The sequence below is a fragment of the Homo sapiens genome, chromosome 2 (assembly GCF_000001405.40).
Source record: "Homo sapiens chromosome 2, GRCh38.p14 Primary Assembly".
In the NCBI taxonomy this organism is placed as follows: domain Eukaryota; kingdom Metazoa; phylum Chordata; class Mammalia; order Primates; family Hominidae; genus Homo; species Homo sapiens.
In genome coordinates, this window is record NC_000002.12 from 166,568,664 (window position 1) to 166,585,686 (window position 17,023).

General features: G+C 36.5%; 1 long non-coding RNA gene across 1 annotated transcript in view; it reads right to left on the reverse strand.

Annotated features, from left to right (window-relative positions):
• Positions 1-253: 253 nt before the first annotated feature.
• LOC107985958 (uncharacterized) overlaps positions 254-17,023 on the reverse strand; it is a 42,302-nt gene continuing 25,532 nt past the window's right edge. Inside the window, exons 2-4 of the long non-coding RNA XR_001739762.1 lie at positions 4,970-5,057; positions 1,453-1,520; positions 254-1,102 (exon numbers count right to left, since the gene is read on the reverse strand). This is a non-coding gene — a long non-coding RNA (uncharacterized LOC107985958). The remainder of the gene's footprint in view (positions 1,103-1,452; positions 1,521-4,969; positions 5,058-17,023) is intronic.

A 17,023-nucleotide genomic window follows, 5' to 3' on the forward strand; every position in this document is an offset into this window, starting at 1 on the left:
GATAGTGGTGATGTTAATGTACTCAATGCCACTGAACTACACACATTAAAATAATAAGTTTTGCATTATGTATATTTTACTACAATAAAAAAGTTTCCAATAAAAAAGGAACTCTCAACATTTTATTTTTTATTACTAGATAAATGTGAAATTTATGTTTGTTAACATCATAAAACATTTAGAAAAGTATAAATCAGAATATGTGGCTCATTTTTAATGTAACATTGGTTCATTAATTAAATTTATTGTAAATATTCCAGATTTCACTGAAATTTAAATTAAAACCACATTACTGGAGTTTAAGACATATGTGTGGCTGCATTTCTTTTACAAGAGCTATCATTTTTCTTTTCCTTTGTATTATAAAGATTCCAATATGATTTATGTTATTTGTAACAATAGCTAAGAATATTGTATTCTCTTGCAGAAGTCTAAAAAAAAGCTTAAATAAAATTAACATATGTCTTAAGTGTTTGTTCTTCAATCTACCCACGGACTGTCATCGACAAGTTATTAAATGAAAAAGAAAAATAACTCCAGGCAAAAGAAGTGGGATTCTTGAGACAATGGTGAGAAAAAGATCATAAAATATATTGATAAACTTAATTAAAGGACTCTAAAATAAAAAATATGTGTGTACATATTTGGGACAAATATGTATTTGTTTGGGACAAAATGTGAGAGTTCAAAAAAGATTAAAGTTTGTTAAGATCCCTTTCTTCAGAAAAGAAATGTATATGCAGATTTACTTTAGAATGTATTACTATTACTGTATATTAATTAAATTTGGCTGTTTATTATTGGTAACTATTAGAAGAACAGAAAAAAATCTAACCTATATCTTTGCATATGTTAGAAATATATCAATTTTTAAATATTCTTGTATAAAATATGTATTATTCATGTATATGTTTATGTTAAAATACAAAATATTATCCAGAAACATGCACACCAAACTCACCATAGGTTGTCTCTGAAGTGGGTGCTATCAGAAAGGGTTGGTGATAGGGCTTGAAGAGAATGCTTCCTCTTACACAGTAGGGCCTTCAGTCACCTCGTTATTTTAGAATAGGGTAAAGTACCATGAACACTTCTTTCCAGCCTGTAGGTGAGGTGGGGAAAGGAAGGAGTTAAAGGGAGGATAGCAAAAAGCCATTAGACTTGCACCTCCTGGATTTTCATCTCCAGGTTTCCACTGTTTGTTGCAGGTCAGGGGAGACAGGGTTACATCAAGCAAAATTAGGTAAGTTGAGAGCAGGGGCTAGCCTATTACTCCAGGTTGATCTATCAAGTCTCAGGTGAGACTCTTTCGAGAGTTGCCTAGTACTAGCTTGGAGCATGATAATAACAAAAGGAACTTGGTAGGCCTTCTTAACTGGGCTGCAGCTGATCTTGACGTTTTTACTTTCCTACTTGGCTCTCCATTCCCATGTGGTGTGAGCTCTGACTTACATGCAGTGGGGCTGCCGTGACAAATCAACGTGACCCCAGAGCTGAGGCTGGGACAAAGGATACAGCTTCTGTTGGGGAAGTAAAATGAGACAACAAATCAGAAAAATACTTTGGCATTTAAAATAAAAATTAAACACATGCCTACCATATCATCCAAATCATTAGGTATCTGCCCCAAACAAATGAAAGCATACATCAACAGAAAGACACATACAGAATATTAATAGCAACTTTATTTGTAATAGCCAAACTTGAAAACAGCCCAAATGTCTATTAATCAATGAATAGTTAAACAAACTGTAGAATATTAACAATAACGAGAAAAATTATTGGACATTCATCCACTTAAATGGGTCTTAAAACAATAGTGACAAGTGTAAGAAACCAGATTTTAAAAAAGAGTGCAAATATATTCTTAAATTTATATATAATTCTAGAAATTGAAAAACAATCTATAGTGAGAGAAGGAAAATAAATGTTTTCCTGTGAAATTGGTGGGAAATGTCATGAGGGATGGATCTCAAAGGGCAAAAGGAAACTTGGAGATAGAAGAATTTATTATTTTGACTATGGTAATAGTAACTTGGGGTTGTACAAATGTCACAACTTTATCAAATTTTATAGTTAAATATGTACAGTTTATTATACATCAATTATATCTTCATAAGGCTGCAAAAGTATTTTTAATGAGCCAAACCCTCAGCAAAAGATAACTGAAATTTTGAGCACTGCAGATATAAGAAAGTACACTACACTTCTAGCCTCCAATGAGAAAATGTATTCCCTTTGTTTTTCTTTTATAATTCTTTTCTTGGGTGAACCTAAGTACCATCATAATGTGTATACCATCTATATTTAAAATACAACATAATTATGCTAATACAAAAATTAATCATATCAAACATTAATCAGTGGCAATAACTAGAGTTGATGAGTATTTGAAGAAATGGCTACTCTCATCCAATGCTGATGGTAATAACCTAGTAGAAAAAATAATGACAACACTGATCACAATTCTAGAATTCTACATTGTTGTTAACTGACTTTTGAGGTTAGACTTATGAAATTATTTTTATTTTTTATTTTTTTGAGAGGGAGTCTCATTCTTGTTGATCAGGCTGGAGTGCAATGGCACGATCTTGGCTCACTGCAACCTCCACCTATCGGGTTCAAGTGATTTTCCTGCCTCAGCCTCCCAAGCAGCTGGGAATACAGGTGCCCGCCACCAAGCTAGGCTATTTTTTTGTATTTTTAGTAGAGATGGGGTTTCACCAGGTTGGCCAGGCTGATCTCGAATTTCTGACCTCAGGTGATCCACCCACCTCGGCCTCCCAAAATGCTGGGATTACAGGCATGAGCCACTGCGCCCAGCCAACTAATGAAATAATTGTAGATGTTCATTGTAATTAAATACAAGAATGTCCATATCATTTTGTACACACTAGTAAAATGCTGGGGGAAAATTCCATAACATAGATGGTCATTTATATGGCATTTTAAATAAATTACATACACAGTGAAATAATATACAGACAGAAAAAATAGTATTGTAGAAAAATATATAATTATTGTCCATTTCTGTGAATGTTTCCTAACACTAGTAAAAAGTATACATAAAAGTATATTTTTTCAGACTTGTTCATAATTATAAAATTTAGATACACCCTACATTTACAAGAATAGTAAAAGAAATATTGTTACAGTCAGACCATGGAATGCCAAGTCACAACTAAAAGAAAAGCAGTTTATCATCTACATTTGTACCGACTTGGAAAGATGCCCATGATGTAAAACAATACCCACACACAAACACATGAGCACATCATTCCCAAAATATTATGTATGATCCTATGATTCTATTTTACAAATGTGTGTGTATGTATCAAAGTAAGGGAAAGAGAAAGGAGACGGCTCCTATACTCACAGAAGTACATGTTGTAAACTGTTAATATTATCCCTGGGACTGGCTAGGTTTGGGCAAGTTTAGAGAGGTGTAAGAAATTTCACTTTTAACTTCACTCATTTAGGTTAAGTTTGAAAACTTTTATAAAATACATGTTATTTATGATTTAAAACACAAGGAAATTAATTGGTAAAGAAGATAGCACTAGTCATGCTATTTTTTATATAGAAAATCCACTAAACTAAATATAACATTATGGTTTTGTTTTTGTTTTGTTTTTTTGGGGGGAGTGGGAGATCCTATGTTTCCCAGGCTGGTATCAAACTCCTAGGCTTAAGTAATCTTCCTGCCTTAGCCTTCTGAGTAGCTGGGATTATAGGTGCCCACCACCATGCCCAGAAAAACATTATGTATTGTATGACTTCATTTCTGAAAATTATATTTGCATATATCTTACTCATCTTTTACTAGATTATCATACATTAACACAATCTCTATGAGTAGCAATAATTGTGTTTGATGACTGGTCAAGGTGGTTTTAATTTCAGAACCCAGTAGGAAAGTGAGCCCACATGTGGGATATGTTCCTCTCTTGGTAGACGAGTATGCAGAATTGCTGGTAGAAACAAGTAAGGCTCTTCAAGCTTCTGCTCAAAACCAGCATGAATCTTTTCTGCTCATATTTTATTAGTCAAAACAGGTCAGTCGCCAAGCCTGACAATGGAGCAAGAAAGTGCTCTCTGCCCATAGTTAGAAACTTTAAGTAACAGGGCAATTAATGAAAAAACAGAATCATCTTATTGGAAGGCATATATTAAACACTTCAAACAATAAAACAACATACCACAGTTTAAAAAATATTGTGAAAAGAACTAGCATAAAATGTTGGCATAGGCTATCTATCTCTGGATCATGAAATAGATCATATTTCAGTTTTTTATTTTGTTCACCTTTATTTGTTAAAATTTTCTACAATTAGCATGCATTTTTCTTGAGACAAGTCAGTTTCCCTGACTACCTCAATGAAATTAACTTCCCACTAACACCTCATTCTCTATGCCCTTCACATGCTTTATTTCTCTTCATAGTACTTACATCATCTGACATGCTCATTTTTTTCAGTCATGTGTTTGTTTATTCTATACTTTTCCAGCTAGAATTTAAGCTGCATGAATGTGGAGAATTTCTCTGCTTTGTTCATTTCTCCACTCAGAGTAGTTTCTGGCATATAACAGACACTCAATAAATATTTCCAAATCAAAGAAAAATAGTAATAAAGGCAATTTCAAAGTTGAAATAATCAGTTGGGAGGCAAACTCTTTTGGATGTTGAATTGATTTAAGGAAATGAATGATTGTGAATTATTCTGGTTTTTTTTTCCCTTTTGAATCTTAAAGTACAGAAGAAGCTTCCTCAATACAAATCCTCTCTCTCTTTCTCTGTTTTTGTTTGTCTGTTATTCAGAGGATTACTCTTCTCTTACAGTCAGTTGCTGGCTGACACTTCCCTGCAAGCCTTTTGTCCCATCCCCCTCCTCTTTCCGTCCTGTCACTTGATTACTTTCCTTTGCTCTGATGTGAGTCAGGAAATAGCATCCAGTATAGGAGATCCTACCAAAAGGGAGGACAGTCAACAACACATCCATTGCTCATTCTTCTCCTCCTCTTCTCCTGGGAACCGTGAGGTAATCCCGGAAGGAATGCTGGGGAAAGAATTTGAGAAAGAGTAAATACAAAACTTGCTATTAAAAAAAAATTGAACTTAAGCAAAAAGGAATTTGTTTTTATTGAACTATGTGAAAAGAAGGTAAGCTCAAAGTATAAGATTCCTAGTTGGGAACAGCTAAAATACCCATGGGCTCTGCATCAGGGCTGTGTCCCAACTTAATAGAAGTTATCCCGAGATAACCAGTGGTTCTGGGCTGCACTAAAAGCAAGTGCACATGGAAAACCCAGGGTCCCCACACCTAGTAAACATATAAAATCTGTCCATAGGATATGAATTCACACAAAATTAGACTCTCAGGATATCAGAGAATTGTAAAGATGACTCTACACATTAATCATGAAAATGTAGGGGAACTCTATGTCTCTAGATAAACTGGGTCTCTTATTTATAAATCTCCCACGAGGCTATTGAAAACATGAAACTACTAAACAAAGCATGACAGTGAAATAGAAGAGTTCATTTAAGCCTTTTATAACTATTACTTTTTTCTTTCGGTACAGAATATCTTTTGTTAAACTATATCATATTCACATTCATAACTTCAAAACAGTATGCTGCTATAAAATAAGCCACATAGAATAGTACTCATAATTATTAAGTGTAAGAAATGACTCAAATGTCATAGTTCCAATACCTGTAATAATTTGGGAAAGAATAAACAACTAATAAATGTATAATTATTGAAGTAAAAATGTGGTCACTTGCATATCTATTTAATAATTTTCATAACTTTTCTTAATTCTGATTATAAATTATCAAGTGAGGCAAGCAACAATCTAGAAATCTTAAGTATTTATGTCAGAGTTGAAAAAGATAGAAGGAACACCACCACAAAGGAAAAGAAAACCTTAGAAGATCAATTTTTTGTTATGGTATACAGATTAAGATTCTAGATAGGTGACCAGACTGTATCTCCACTTACACTAGTACATTTCTGGTCAATCCTTTGGAAAAATATTAAGTAATTAAAGGACAGATTGTGGTGGTGGTAGCTAATAAATATGTATTAAATAAGTGCATTTATGGCCCGGCGCAGTGGCTCACGCCTGTAATCCCAGCACTTTGGGAGGCCAAGGCGGGTGAATCACCTGAGGTCAGGAGTTTGAGACCAGCCTGGCCAATATGGTGAAACCCCATCTTTATTAAAAATATGGGGGTGGTGGTGCATGTCTGTAATTCCAGCAACTCAGGAGGCTGAGGCAGGAGAATTGCTTGAACCCAGAAGGCAGAGGTTGCAGTGAGCCAAGATTGCACCACTGCACTCCAGGCCTGGGCAACAGAGTGAGACTCCATCTCAAAAAAAAAAAAAAAGTGCATTTATAATTGATATATGTATTTACCTATTTAAATAATCTAACTTTCCAGATGTCTTTACATAACAATATATACAATAGAATTGGTATTTATATGGCAAAGAGTTACACAATTTTGATATATAGAATCTTCTTGCTATATTTCTTTATAATTTTACTATATATAACCTTAGCCATGTGTTGGGCAGCATGAATGTGCAGCATTTGCATTATATTTACCACAATATGTACTTGATCTATCATTTTGTTTTTCTAATATATTAACAATTGAGATAAATCTATAAAATTAAATTTTTCTTGGTCTGAAGACACGTAATCAATTCACAGGAACGTCTTAAGAGTATGTATTTTGATTCACTGCAACAACCATTTTAGAGCTTTCAATACCAATAAACTACCAACTAATGCACTGTGGTATTATTAGAACTTGAATGCTGCAAGAGAAATTTAAGACTAAGCTGTTTTTCCAGAAAAATCAGTTGAGAAAAAAAAGCAAATTGGAGGATTTCTTGTTTGTTTTTTTGCTTGCTGAAATGTTGCTTAACAGAACATTATATGAAAACAATTACCATGTCTTTCTTTCTAGTCAGCCATGTGGAGTATGGGCTCTGAAACCAGACTGATGGGTTTCATCTTGACACTAATTCTCAACAGAGGACAGCTTTGGTCAGTTGCCTACCTTTTCTGTTCTTCAGTTTCTGGTTTGTTAAAATGGAGATAACTAGAACACTTTTTTTTTTAATGGAGTCTCACTCTATTGCCCAGGCTGGAGTACAGTGGTGCTACCTTGGCTCACTGCAACCTCCGCCTCCCGGGTTCAAGCGATTCTCCTGCCTCAGCCTCCCAAGCAGCTGGGACTACAGGGGCTTGCCACGACGCCAGGCTAATATTTTTGTATTTTCAGTAGAGACAGGGGTTTCACCATATTCGTCAGGCTGGTCTCAAACGATCTCCTGACCTCAGGTGATCTGCCTGCCTCGGCCTCCCAAAGAGCTGGGATTACAGGCGTGAGCCACGGCGCCCGGCTAACTACAGCATTTAACTCAATAACATGATGGGAGGAGCAGAAACCTTAGAACACTAACCAGCACATAGTGAACACTAATTTTTAGCCATTTTTAGGTAAGAATAGTAAGGAAAACAATTATCACAACACGGAAGATCTATTGCATGAAATGGACTCAAAGACTCGAAAGGGTACTGAGATGTCTGCAAATTATCCAGAAAAGAGATTCATAGAAATCCTTAAGGCAATTTAACATGTCTAAGAAAACTCTTTTAAACAGCTTTACTGTTATATATTTTTTTCAGTACTTTAAAACTGTCATTTCACTGTCTCTTGTGCTCTATCGATTATAAGTCAGAGGTCATTTAAACAAACTCTTATTCTATAATGTGTTGTATACTGTATTGTTTTTCAGCTGCTTTCAAGATTTTCTCCTTATTTTTCTTTTACTCTGGTAAGTTAAACTCTAGTGTACTTAGGTATAGTTTTATTACTATTTACCTCTTTTAGGCTGATTTAACTTCTTCCATCTGTACATTTCCACCTTTTACCAAATTTAGGGAAACTTTGGCCACTATTTCTTGGAAAATATTTTCTACCCAATTTTCTTCCTCCTTCTTCTAAGATTCAAAATGCATGTATGCCAGACCTTTTGATATTTCCCCATGAGACACCAAAGACCTGTTCATATTTTCTTCAATTTTTTTCTCCCTGTTTTTAAATTAAATTTTTCAAAATTTGTTTTTATTGATATATAATGCTTTCAGAGTACATGTGGTAATTTAATACATTCACAATTTGTAAAGCTCAAATCAGTGTAATTAGCATGTTTATCACCTTAAATATTTGTTTTTTCTTTACGGTAGAAACACTCAAATTATTCTTTTCTAGCTATTTTGAAATACACAATCAATTATTGTAAACTATAGCCACCCTACTGATCTATCATACTGTATGTTCTATTTCTTCTTTCAAACTGTATATTTTATCCATTAGTCAACCTCTCTTCATCCCCTACTTCCTGGCTTCCGGTAACCACCAATCTACTTTCTATTCTCATTAGATCCACTTTTTAAGCTCCCACATATGAGTGAGAAAGTGCAATATTTGTCTTTCTGTGCTTGGCTTATTTCACTTAACATAATGCCCTCCAGTTCCATCCATGTTGCTGCAAATGACAGGATTTTATTCTTTTTTTAACTTCTTAATTATACTTAATTATGAATATATACCACTCTTTAAACCATTCATCTATTGATAGGCACTTAGATTGATTCCATATCTTGACTATGGGGAATAGTGCTGTAACAAACATGGGAGTGCAGCTATCTCTTTGACATAGCAATTGTATTTCCTTTGGCTAAATCCCAGTAGTGGGATTGCTGGATCATATGATAGTTCTATTTTTAGTTTTTTGAGGAACCTCCAAACTATTCTCCATGGTGATTGTACCAATTTACGTTCCCATCAATAGTGTACTGGGCTCCTCTTCCTCCACATCCTCGCCAAAATATTTTACTCCCTGTCTTTTTGATAACAATGATTCTAACTGGAGTGAGATGATATCTCAAGGTGACTTTGATTTGCATTTTCCTGATGATAAGTGATATCGAGCATTTTGTCATATACCCACTGGCCACTTGTATGTCTTCTTTTGAGGAATGTCTATTGAAGTCTTTTGCCCATTTTTAAATCAAATTGTTTGTTTTCTGGATATTGAGTTGTTTGAGTTCATCATATTTTCTGATTATGAATCCCTTGTCAGATGAACACTTGGCAAATATTTTCTCCCATTCTATGGGATGTCTATTCAATTGGTTGATTGTTTCCTTTAATTTGCAGAAGCTTCCTAATTTGATGTAATTGATGTAATACCAATCGTCTATTTTTGCTTTGGTTGCCTCTGCTTTTGAGGTCTTACAAAAATCTTTGCCTACATCAATGTCCCGTAGCATTTCCTCAATATTTTCTTCTAGTAGTTTCATAGTCTTAGGTCTTAGATCCAAGTCTTTAATCCATTTTGATTTGACTTTTGTATATGGGTGAGGCAGAGGGGTCTAGTTTCATTCTTTTGCATATGGTTATCCAGTTTTCCCAGCATCATCTATTGAAAAGACTCTTTTCCCCACTAAATATTCTTGTTGTCTTTGTCAGAAATGAGTTTCCTGTAAATGCATGGATTTATATCTGGGTCTTCTATTTTGTTCCACTGATTCCTCTGTCTGTTTTTAATGTTGTTACTACACTGATTTGGCTACTTTTGCTTTGTAGCATATTTTGAAGAACTAGCATGTCCCTCTAGTTTAGTTGGGTGGTTTTGTTTTGCTCAGGATTTCTATGGCAAGTTAGGTCTTTCGTGGTTCCACATAAATTTTAGAATCTTTTTTTCCATTTCTGTGAAAAGCATCATTGGCATTTTGATAGAGACTGGATTTAATCTATAAGTTGCTTTGAGTAGCATTGTCATTTAATAATATTAATATTTTCAATTCAAGAGTATGGAATACCTTTCAATAATTTTTTGTTTTCTTCAATTTCTTTCACCTGTGTTTTATAGTTTTGCTTGTATAGATCTTTCACTCCTTCAGGTAAATTAATTCCTAGCTATTTTATATTATTTGTAACAGTTGTAAATTAATTTGCTCTCTTTCTTTTTAGATTGTTCACTGTTGGCATATACAAATGCTATTGATTCTTGTATGTTGATTTTTTTATCCTGAAACTTTACTGAGTTTGTTAATGAGTTTTAACAGGTTTTTTTTGGTGGCATCTTTAGGTTTTGCTAAATATAAATGTTATCTGTGAACAAAGCTAGTTTGACTTCTTTCTTTCCAATTTAGATACCCTTTATTTCTCTTGATTAATTGTTCTGGCTAGGATTTCCAGTATTATGCAAAATAAAAGTTGTGAAAATGGGCATCCTTTTCTTATTCTAGATCTTAGGGGACAAGCTTTCCATTTTACCCTGTTCAATAGATATTAGCTGTAGGTTTGTTGTATATGGTTATCATTATTTTGAGGTGTGTTCCTTCTATACTCAGTTTGTTGAGGGTTTTTATCATAAAGAAATGTTGAGTTTTATCAAAAGATTTTTCATCATCTACAGAAATGACCATATACTTTCTATTCTTGGTTTTGTTAATGTGATGTATGTTTATTGATTTGCATATTTTGAAACATCCTTGCATCCGTGGGATGAATCCACTTCATCATAATGAATTATCTTTTTAATGGATTGTTGAATTTGGTCTCATGGTATTTTTTTAAAATTTTTGCATCTATGTTTACCAAAGATATTGACCTATAGTTCTTTTCTTATTGTCTTCTTGTCTGATTTTTGTATGAGGATAATGCTGGCCTTGTAAATATGTTTGGAAGTACTCTATCCTGTTCAATTTTTAAAAATAGTTTGAGTAGAATTGGTATTAGTTCTCCTGTAAATGTTTGGTAAAACTTGGTAGTAAAGGCATCAGATCCGAGGCTTTTCTTTGATGGAAGAGTTTTTATTACAGCATCAATCTCATTAATCATTATTGGTTGGATGAAATATTATATTTTTTCATGGTTTAATCCTGGTAGGTAATATGTGTCCAGGAACATATTCATTTCTTCTAGTTTTTTCAACTTATTGGTATATAGTTGTTCATAATAGTCTGTAATGATTTGTATTTTTGTGATATCAGTTGCTATGTCTCCTTTTTCATCTCTGATTTATTTGGGTTTTCTTTTTTTCTCAGCCTAATTAAAGATTCATTGATTTTGTTTATCTTTTAAAAAACTAACTTTTTTTTCACTGATTTTCCATACTGTTTTAGTCTAAGTTTCATTTATTTCTGCTCTCATCTTTATCATTTATTTCCTTCTACTAATTTGGGATTTGGTTTATTCTGGGTTTTCTAATTCCTTGGAGTGTATCATTGGGTTATTTAAAATCTTTCTACTTTGTTTTCAATAGGTGCTTGATATGATTAGGCTGTGTCCTCACCCAAATCTAATCTTGAATTGCAGCTCCTATAATTCCCACGTGTTGTGGGAGGGACTGCAGGGGAGATAAGTGAACCATTGGGGTAGGTTTTTCTTTCTTGTGCTATTCTCATGACAGTGAATTAGTCTCACAGAGCTGATTTTTTTTTTTTTTTTTTGAGTCTCGCTCTGTCACCTAGGCTGTAGTGTAATGGTATGATCTCGGCTCACTGCAACCTTTGCCTCTTGGGTTCAAGTGATTCTCTTGCCTCAGCCTCCCAAGTGGCTGCAATTACAGGCACCTGCCATCATGCCTGGCTAATTTTTGTAGCTACAGGGTTTTACCATGCTGGCCAGGCTAGTCTTGAACTCCTGATCTCAGGTGATCTGCCCATCTTGGACTCCCTAAGTGCTGGGATTACAGGCATGACCCACCACACCTGGCTAATCTGATGGTTTTATAAAGGGAAGTACCCCTGCATAGGGTCTCTCTTGCCTGCTGCCATGTAAGATGATGTGATTTGCTGCTCATTCGCCTTCCACCATGATTGTGAGGCCTCCACAGCCATGTGGAACTGTGAGTCCATTAAATCTCTTTTTCTTTATAAATTACCTGGTCTTGAGTTTTATTTTCTTCATAATTTTTAATTTTCTTTATAAATTACCTGGCCATCAACAAGCATAAATATATTCAAAAGTATTGAAATCATGCAAAGTATTTTTCCAGTTACTTTGGAATTAAATCTGAAATTAATAGTAAAAGGACATTTTAGGAAAATCACAAATAAGTGGAAATTAACAAAATACTCATAAATAACTGATGAGTTGGGCCAGGTACGGTGGCTCACGCCTGTAATCCCAGCACTTTGGGAGGCCGAGGTGGGCAGATCACGAGTTCTGGAGTTTGAGACCACCCTGGCCAACATGGTGAAACCCCATGTCTACTAAAAGTACAAAAATTAGCTGGGTGTGGTGGCGCATGCCTCTAGTCCCAGCTACTTGGGAGGCTGAGGCAGGAGAATCACTTGAACCCGGGAGGTGGAGATTGCAGTGAGCCAAGATCGTGCCACTGCACTCCAGTCTGGGAGACAGAGTGAGACTTCAAAAAAAAAAAAAAAAAAAAAAAAGGTTTAATAACTGATGAGTCAAAGAGAATACTAAAAGGAAGTTTAGAAACTAACTGGAGATGGGAGGGGTTCCAAGATGGCCAAATAGGAACAGCTCCAGTCTGCAGCTCCCAGCAGGATCGACGCAGAAGACGGGTGATTTCTGCATTTCCAACTTAGGTACCTGGTTCATTTCACTGGGACTGGTTAGACAGTGGGTGCAGGCCATGGAGGGCAAGCTGAAACAGGGCGGGGCATCGCCTCACCCAAGAAGCACTAGGGGTCAGAGGATTTCCCTTTCCTAGCCAAGGGAAGCCATGACAGACTGTACCTGGGAAAAATGGGATACTCCCCCCTCCAAATACTGCGCTTTTCCAAAGGTCTTAGCAAATGGCAGACCAGGAGTTACTATCCCATGCCTGGCTCAGTGGGTCCCACACCCACAGAGCCTTACTCACTGCTAGCACAGCAGTCTGAGATCTAACTGCGAGGCAACAGCCTGGTGGGGGGAGGGGCATCTGCCATTGCTGAGGCTTGAGTAGGTAAACAAAGCTGCCTGGAAGCTAGAACTGGGCAGAGCCCACCGCAGCTCAGCTAGGCCTGCTGCCTCTGTAGACTCCACCTGTGGGGGCAGGGCATAGCTGAACAAAAGGCAGCAGAATCTTCTGCAGACTTAAACGTCCCTGTCCAACAGCTCTGAAAAGAGCAGTCATTCTCCCAGCACAGTACGTGAGCTCTGAGAATGGACAGACTGCCTCCTCAAGTGGGTCCCTGATCCCTGTGTAGCCTAACTGGGAGACACCTCCCAGTAGGGGATGACTTACACCTCATACAGGCGAGTGCCCCTCTGGGACAAAGCTTCCAGAGGAAGAATCAGGGAGTAATATTTGCTGTTCTGCAATATTTGCTGTTCTGCAGCTTCCGCTGATGATGCCCAGGCAAACAGGGTCTGGAGTGGAACCCCAGCAAACTCCAACAGACTGGCAGCTGAGGGACCTGACTGTTAGAAGGAAAACTAACAAACAGAAAAGAATAGCATCAACATCAACAAAAGGGACATCCACACCAAAACCCCATCTGTAGGTCACTAACATCAAAAAGACCAAAGGTAGCTAAAACAATAAAGATGGGGAGAAACTACAGTAGAAAAGCTGAAAATTCTAAAAACCAGAGCGCCTCTTCTCCTCCAAAGGATCGCAGCTCCTTGCCAGCAATGGAACAAAACTGGACAGAGAATGACATTGACAAGTTGACAGAAGTAGGCTTCAGAAAGTCAGTAATAACAAACTTCTCCAAGCTAAAGGAGGATGTTTCGAACCCATTGCAAGGAAGATAAAAACCTTGAAAAAAGATTAGATGAATGGCTAACTAGAACAAACAGTGTAGAGAAGACCTTAAATGACCTGATGGAGCTGAAAACCATGGCACAAGAATTTGTGATCCATGCACAAGCTTCTATAGCCAATGTGATCAAGTGGAAGAAAGGGTATCAGTGATTGAAAATCAAATTAATGAAATAAAGTGAGAAGAAAAGTTTAGAGAAAAAAGAGTAAAAAGAAAGGAACAAAGCCTCCAAGAAATATGGGACTATGTGAAAAGACCAAATCTACATTTGACTGGTGTACCTGAAAGTGACAGGGAGAATGGAACCAAGTTGGAAAACACTCTGCAGAATACTATCCAGGAGAACTTCCCCAACCTAGCAAGGCAGGCCAACATTCAAATTCAGGAAATACAGAGAACACCACAAAGATTCTCCTCGAGAAGAGCAACCCCAAGACACATAATTGTCAGATTCACCAAGGTGGAAATGAAGGAAAAAATGCTAAGGGCAGCCAGAGAGAAAGTTTGGGTTACCCAGAAAGGGAAGCCCATCAGATTAACAGTGGATATCTCAGCAAAAACTCTCCAAGCCAGAAGAGACTGGGGGCCAATATTCAACATTCTTAAAGAAAAGAATTTTCAACCCAGAATTTCATATCCAGCCAAACTAAGCTTCATAAGTGAAGGAGAAATAAAATCCTTTACAGACAAGAAAATGCTGAGAGATTTTGTCACCCCAGGCCTGCCTTACAAGAGCTCCAGAAGGAAACACTAGACATGGAAAGGAACAATCAGTACCAGTGATGGCAAAAACACGCCAAATTGTAAAGACCATCAATGCTATGAAGAAACTGCATCAATTAATGGGCAAAATAACTAGCCAAAATCATAATGACAGGATCAAACTCACACATAACAATATTAACCTTAAATGTAAATGGGCTAAATGCCCCAATTAAAAGACACAGACTGGCAAATTGGAAGACTGGCAAATTGGATAATGAGTCAAGACCCATCAGTGTGCTGTATTCAGGGGACCCATCTTATGTGAAGAGACACACACAGGCTCAAAATCAAGGGATGAAGGGAGATCTACCAAGAAAATGGAAAGCAAAAAAAAGCATGGGTTGCAATCCCAGTTTCTGATAAAACAGACTTTAAACCAACAAAGATCAAAAGAGACAAAGAAGGCCATTACATAATGGTAAAGGGATCAATTCAACAAGAAGTGCTAACTATCCTAAATATATATGCACCCAATACAGGAGCACCCAGATTCATAAAGCAAGTCCTTAGAGACCTACAAAGAGGCTTAGACTCCCACACAATAATAATGGGAGACTTTAACACCCCACTGTCAACATTAGATCAACGAGACAGAAAGTTAACAAGGCTATCCAGGAATTGAACTCAGCTCTGCACCAAGCGGACCTAATAGACATCTACAGAACTCTCCACCACAAATCAACAGAATATACATTCTTCTCAGCACCACATCACACTTATTCCAAAATTGACCACATAGTTGGAAGTAAAGCACTCCCCAGCAAATGTAAAAGAACAGAAATTATAACCAACTGTCTCTCAGACCACAGTGCAATCAAACTAGAACTCAGGATTAAGAAACCCACTCAAAACCACTCAACTACATGGAAACTGAACAACCTGCTCCTGAATGACTACTGAGTACATAATGAAATGAAGGCAGAAATAAAGATGTTCTTTAAAACCAATGAGAACAAAGACACAACATACCAGAATCTGCGGTGTGTAGAGGGAAATTTATAGCACTAAATGACCACAAGGGAAAGCAGGAAAGATCTAAAATTCACACCCTAACATCACAATGAAAAGAACTAGAGAAGCAAAAGCAAACAAATTCAAACTCTAGCAGAAGGCAAGAAATAACTAAGATCAGAGCAGAACTGAAGGAGATAGAGACACAAAAAAAACCTTCAAAAAATCAATGAATCCAGGAACTGGTTTTTTGAAAGGATCAACAAAATTGATAGACTGCTAGCAAGACTAATAAAGAAGAAAATAGAGAGGATCAAATAGATGCCTTAAAAAATGATAAAGGGGATATCACCACCGATCCCACAGAAATACAAACTACCGTTGGAGAATACTATAAACACCTCTACACAAATAAGCTAGAAAATATAGAAAAAATGGATAAATTCCTGGACACATATACCCATCTAAGAATAAACCAGGAAGAAGCTGAATCTCTGAATAGACCAATAACACGCTCTGAAATTCAGGCAATAATTAAGAGCATACCAACCAAAAAAAGTCCAGGACCAGATGGATTTACAGCTGAATTCTACCAAAGGTACAAAGAGGAGTTGGTACCATTCCTTCTGAAACTATTCCAATCAATAGAAAAAGATGGAATCCTCCCTAACTCATTTTATGAGGCCAGCAACATCCTGATACCAAAACCTGGCAGAGACACAACAAAAAAAGAGAATTTTAGACCAACATCCCCGAAGAACATCGATGCAAAAATCCTTAATAAAATACTGGCAAACAGAAGCCAGCAGCACATCAAAAAGCTTATCCACCATGATAGAGTCGGCTTCATCCCTGGGATGCAAGGCTGGTTCAACATACGCAAATCAATAAGTGTAATCCAGCATATAAACAGAACCAAAGATAAAAACCACATGATTATCTCAATAGATGCAGAAAAGGCCTTTGACAAAATTCAACAGCCCTTCATGCAAAAAACTTTCAATAAACTAGGTATTGATGGAACGTATCTGAAAATAATACCAGCTATTTATGACAAACCCACAGCCAATATCATATTGAATGGGCAAAACCTGGAAGCATTCCCTTTGAAAACTGGCACAAGACAGGGGTGCCCTCTCTCACAACTCCTATTCAACACAGTGTTGGAAGTGCTGGCCAGGGCAATCAGGCAAGAGAAAGAAAGGGTATTCAATTAGGAAAAGAGGAAGTCAAATTGTCTCTGCTTGCAGATGACATGATTGTATATTTAGAAAACCTCATAGTCTCAGCCCAAAATCTCTTTAAGCTGATAAGTAACTTCAGCAATGTCTCAGGATACGAAGTCAATGTGGAAAAATCACAAGCATTCCTATATACCAATAACAGACAGAGAGCCAAATCATGAGTGAACTCTCATTCACAATTGCTACAAAGAGAAAAAATGCCAAAGAATCCAACTTACAAGGGATGTGAAGGAACTCTTCATGGAGAA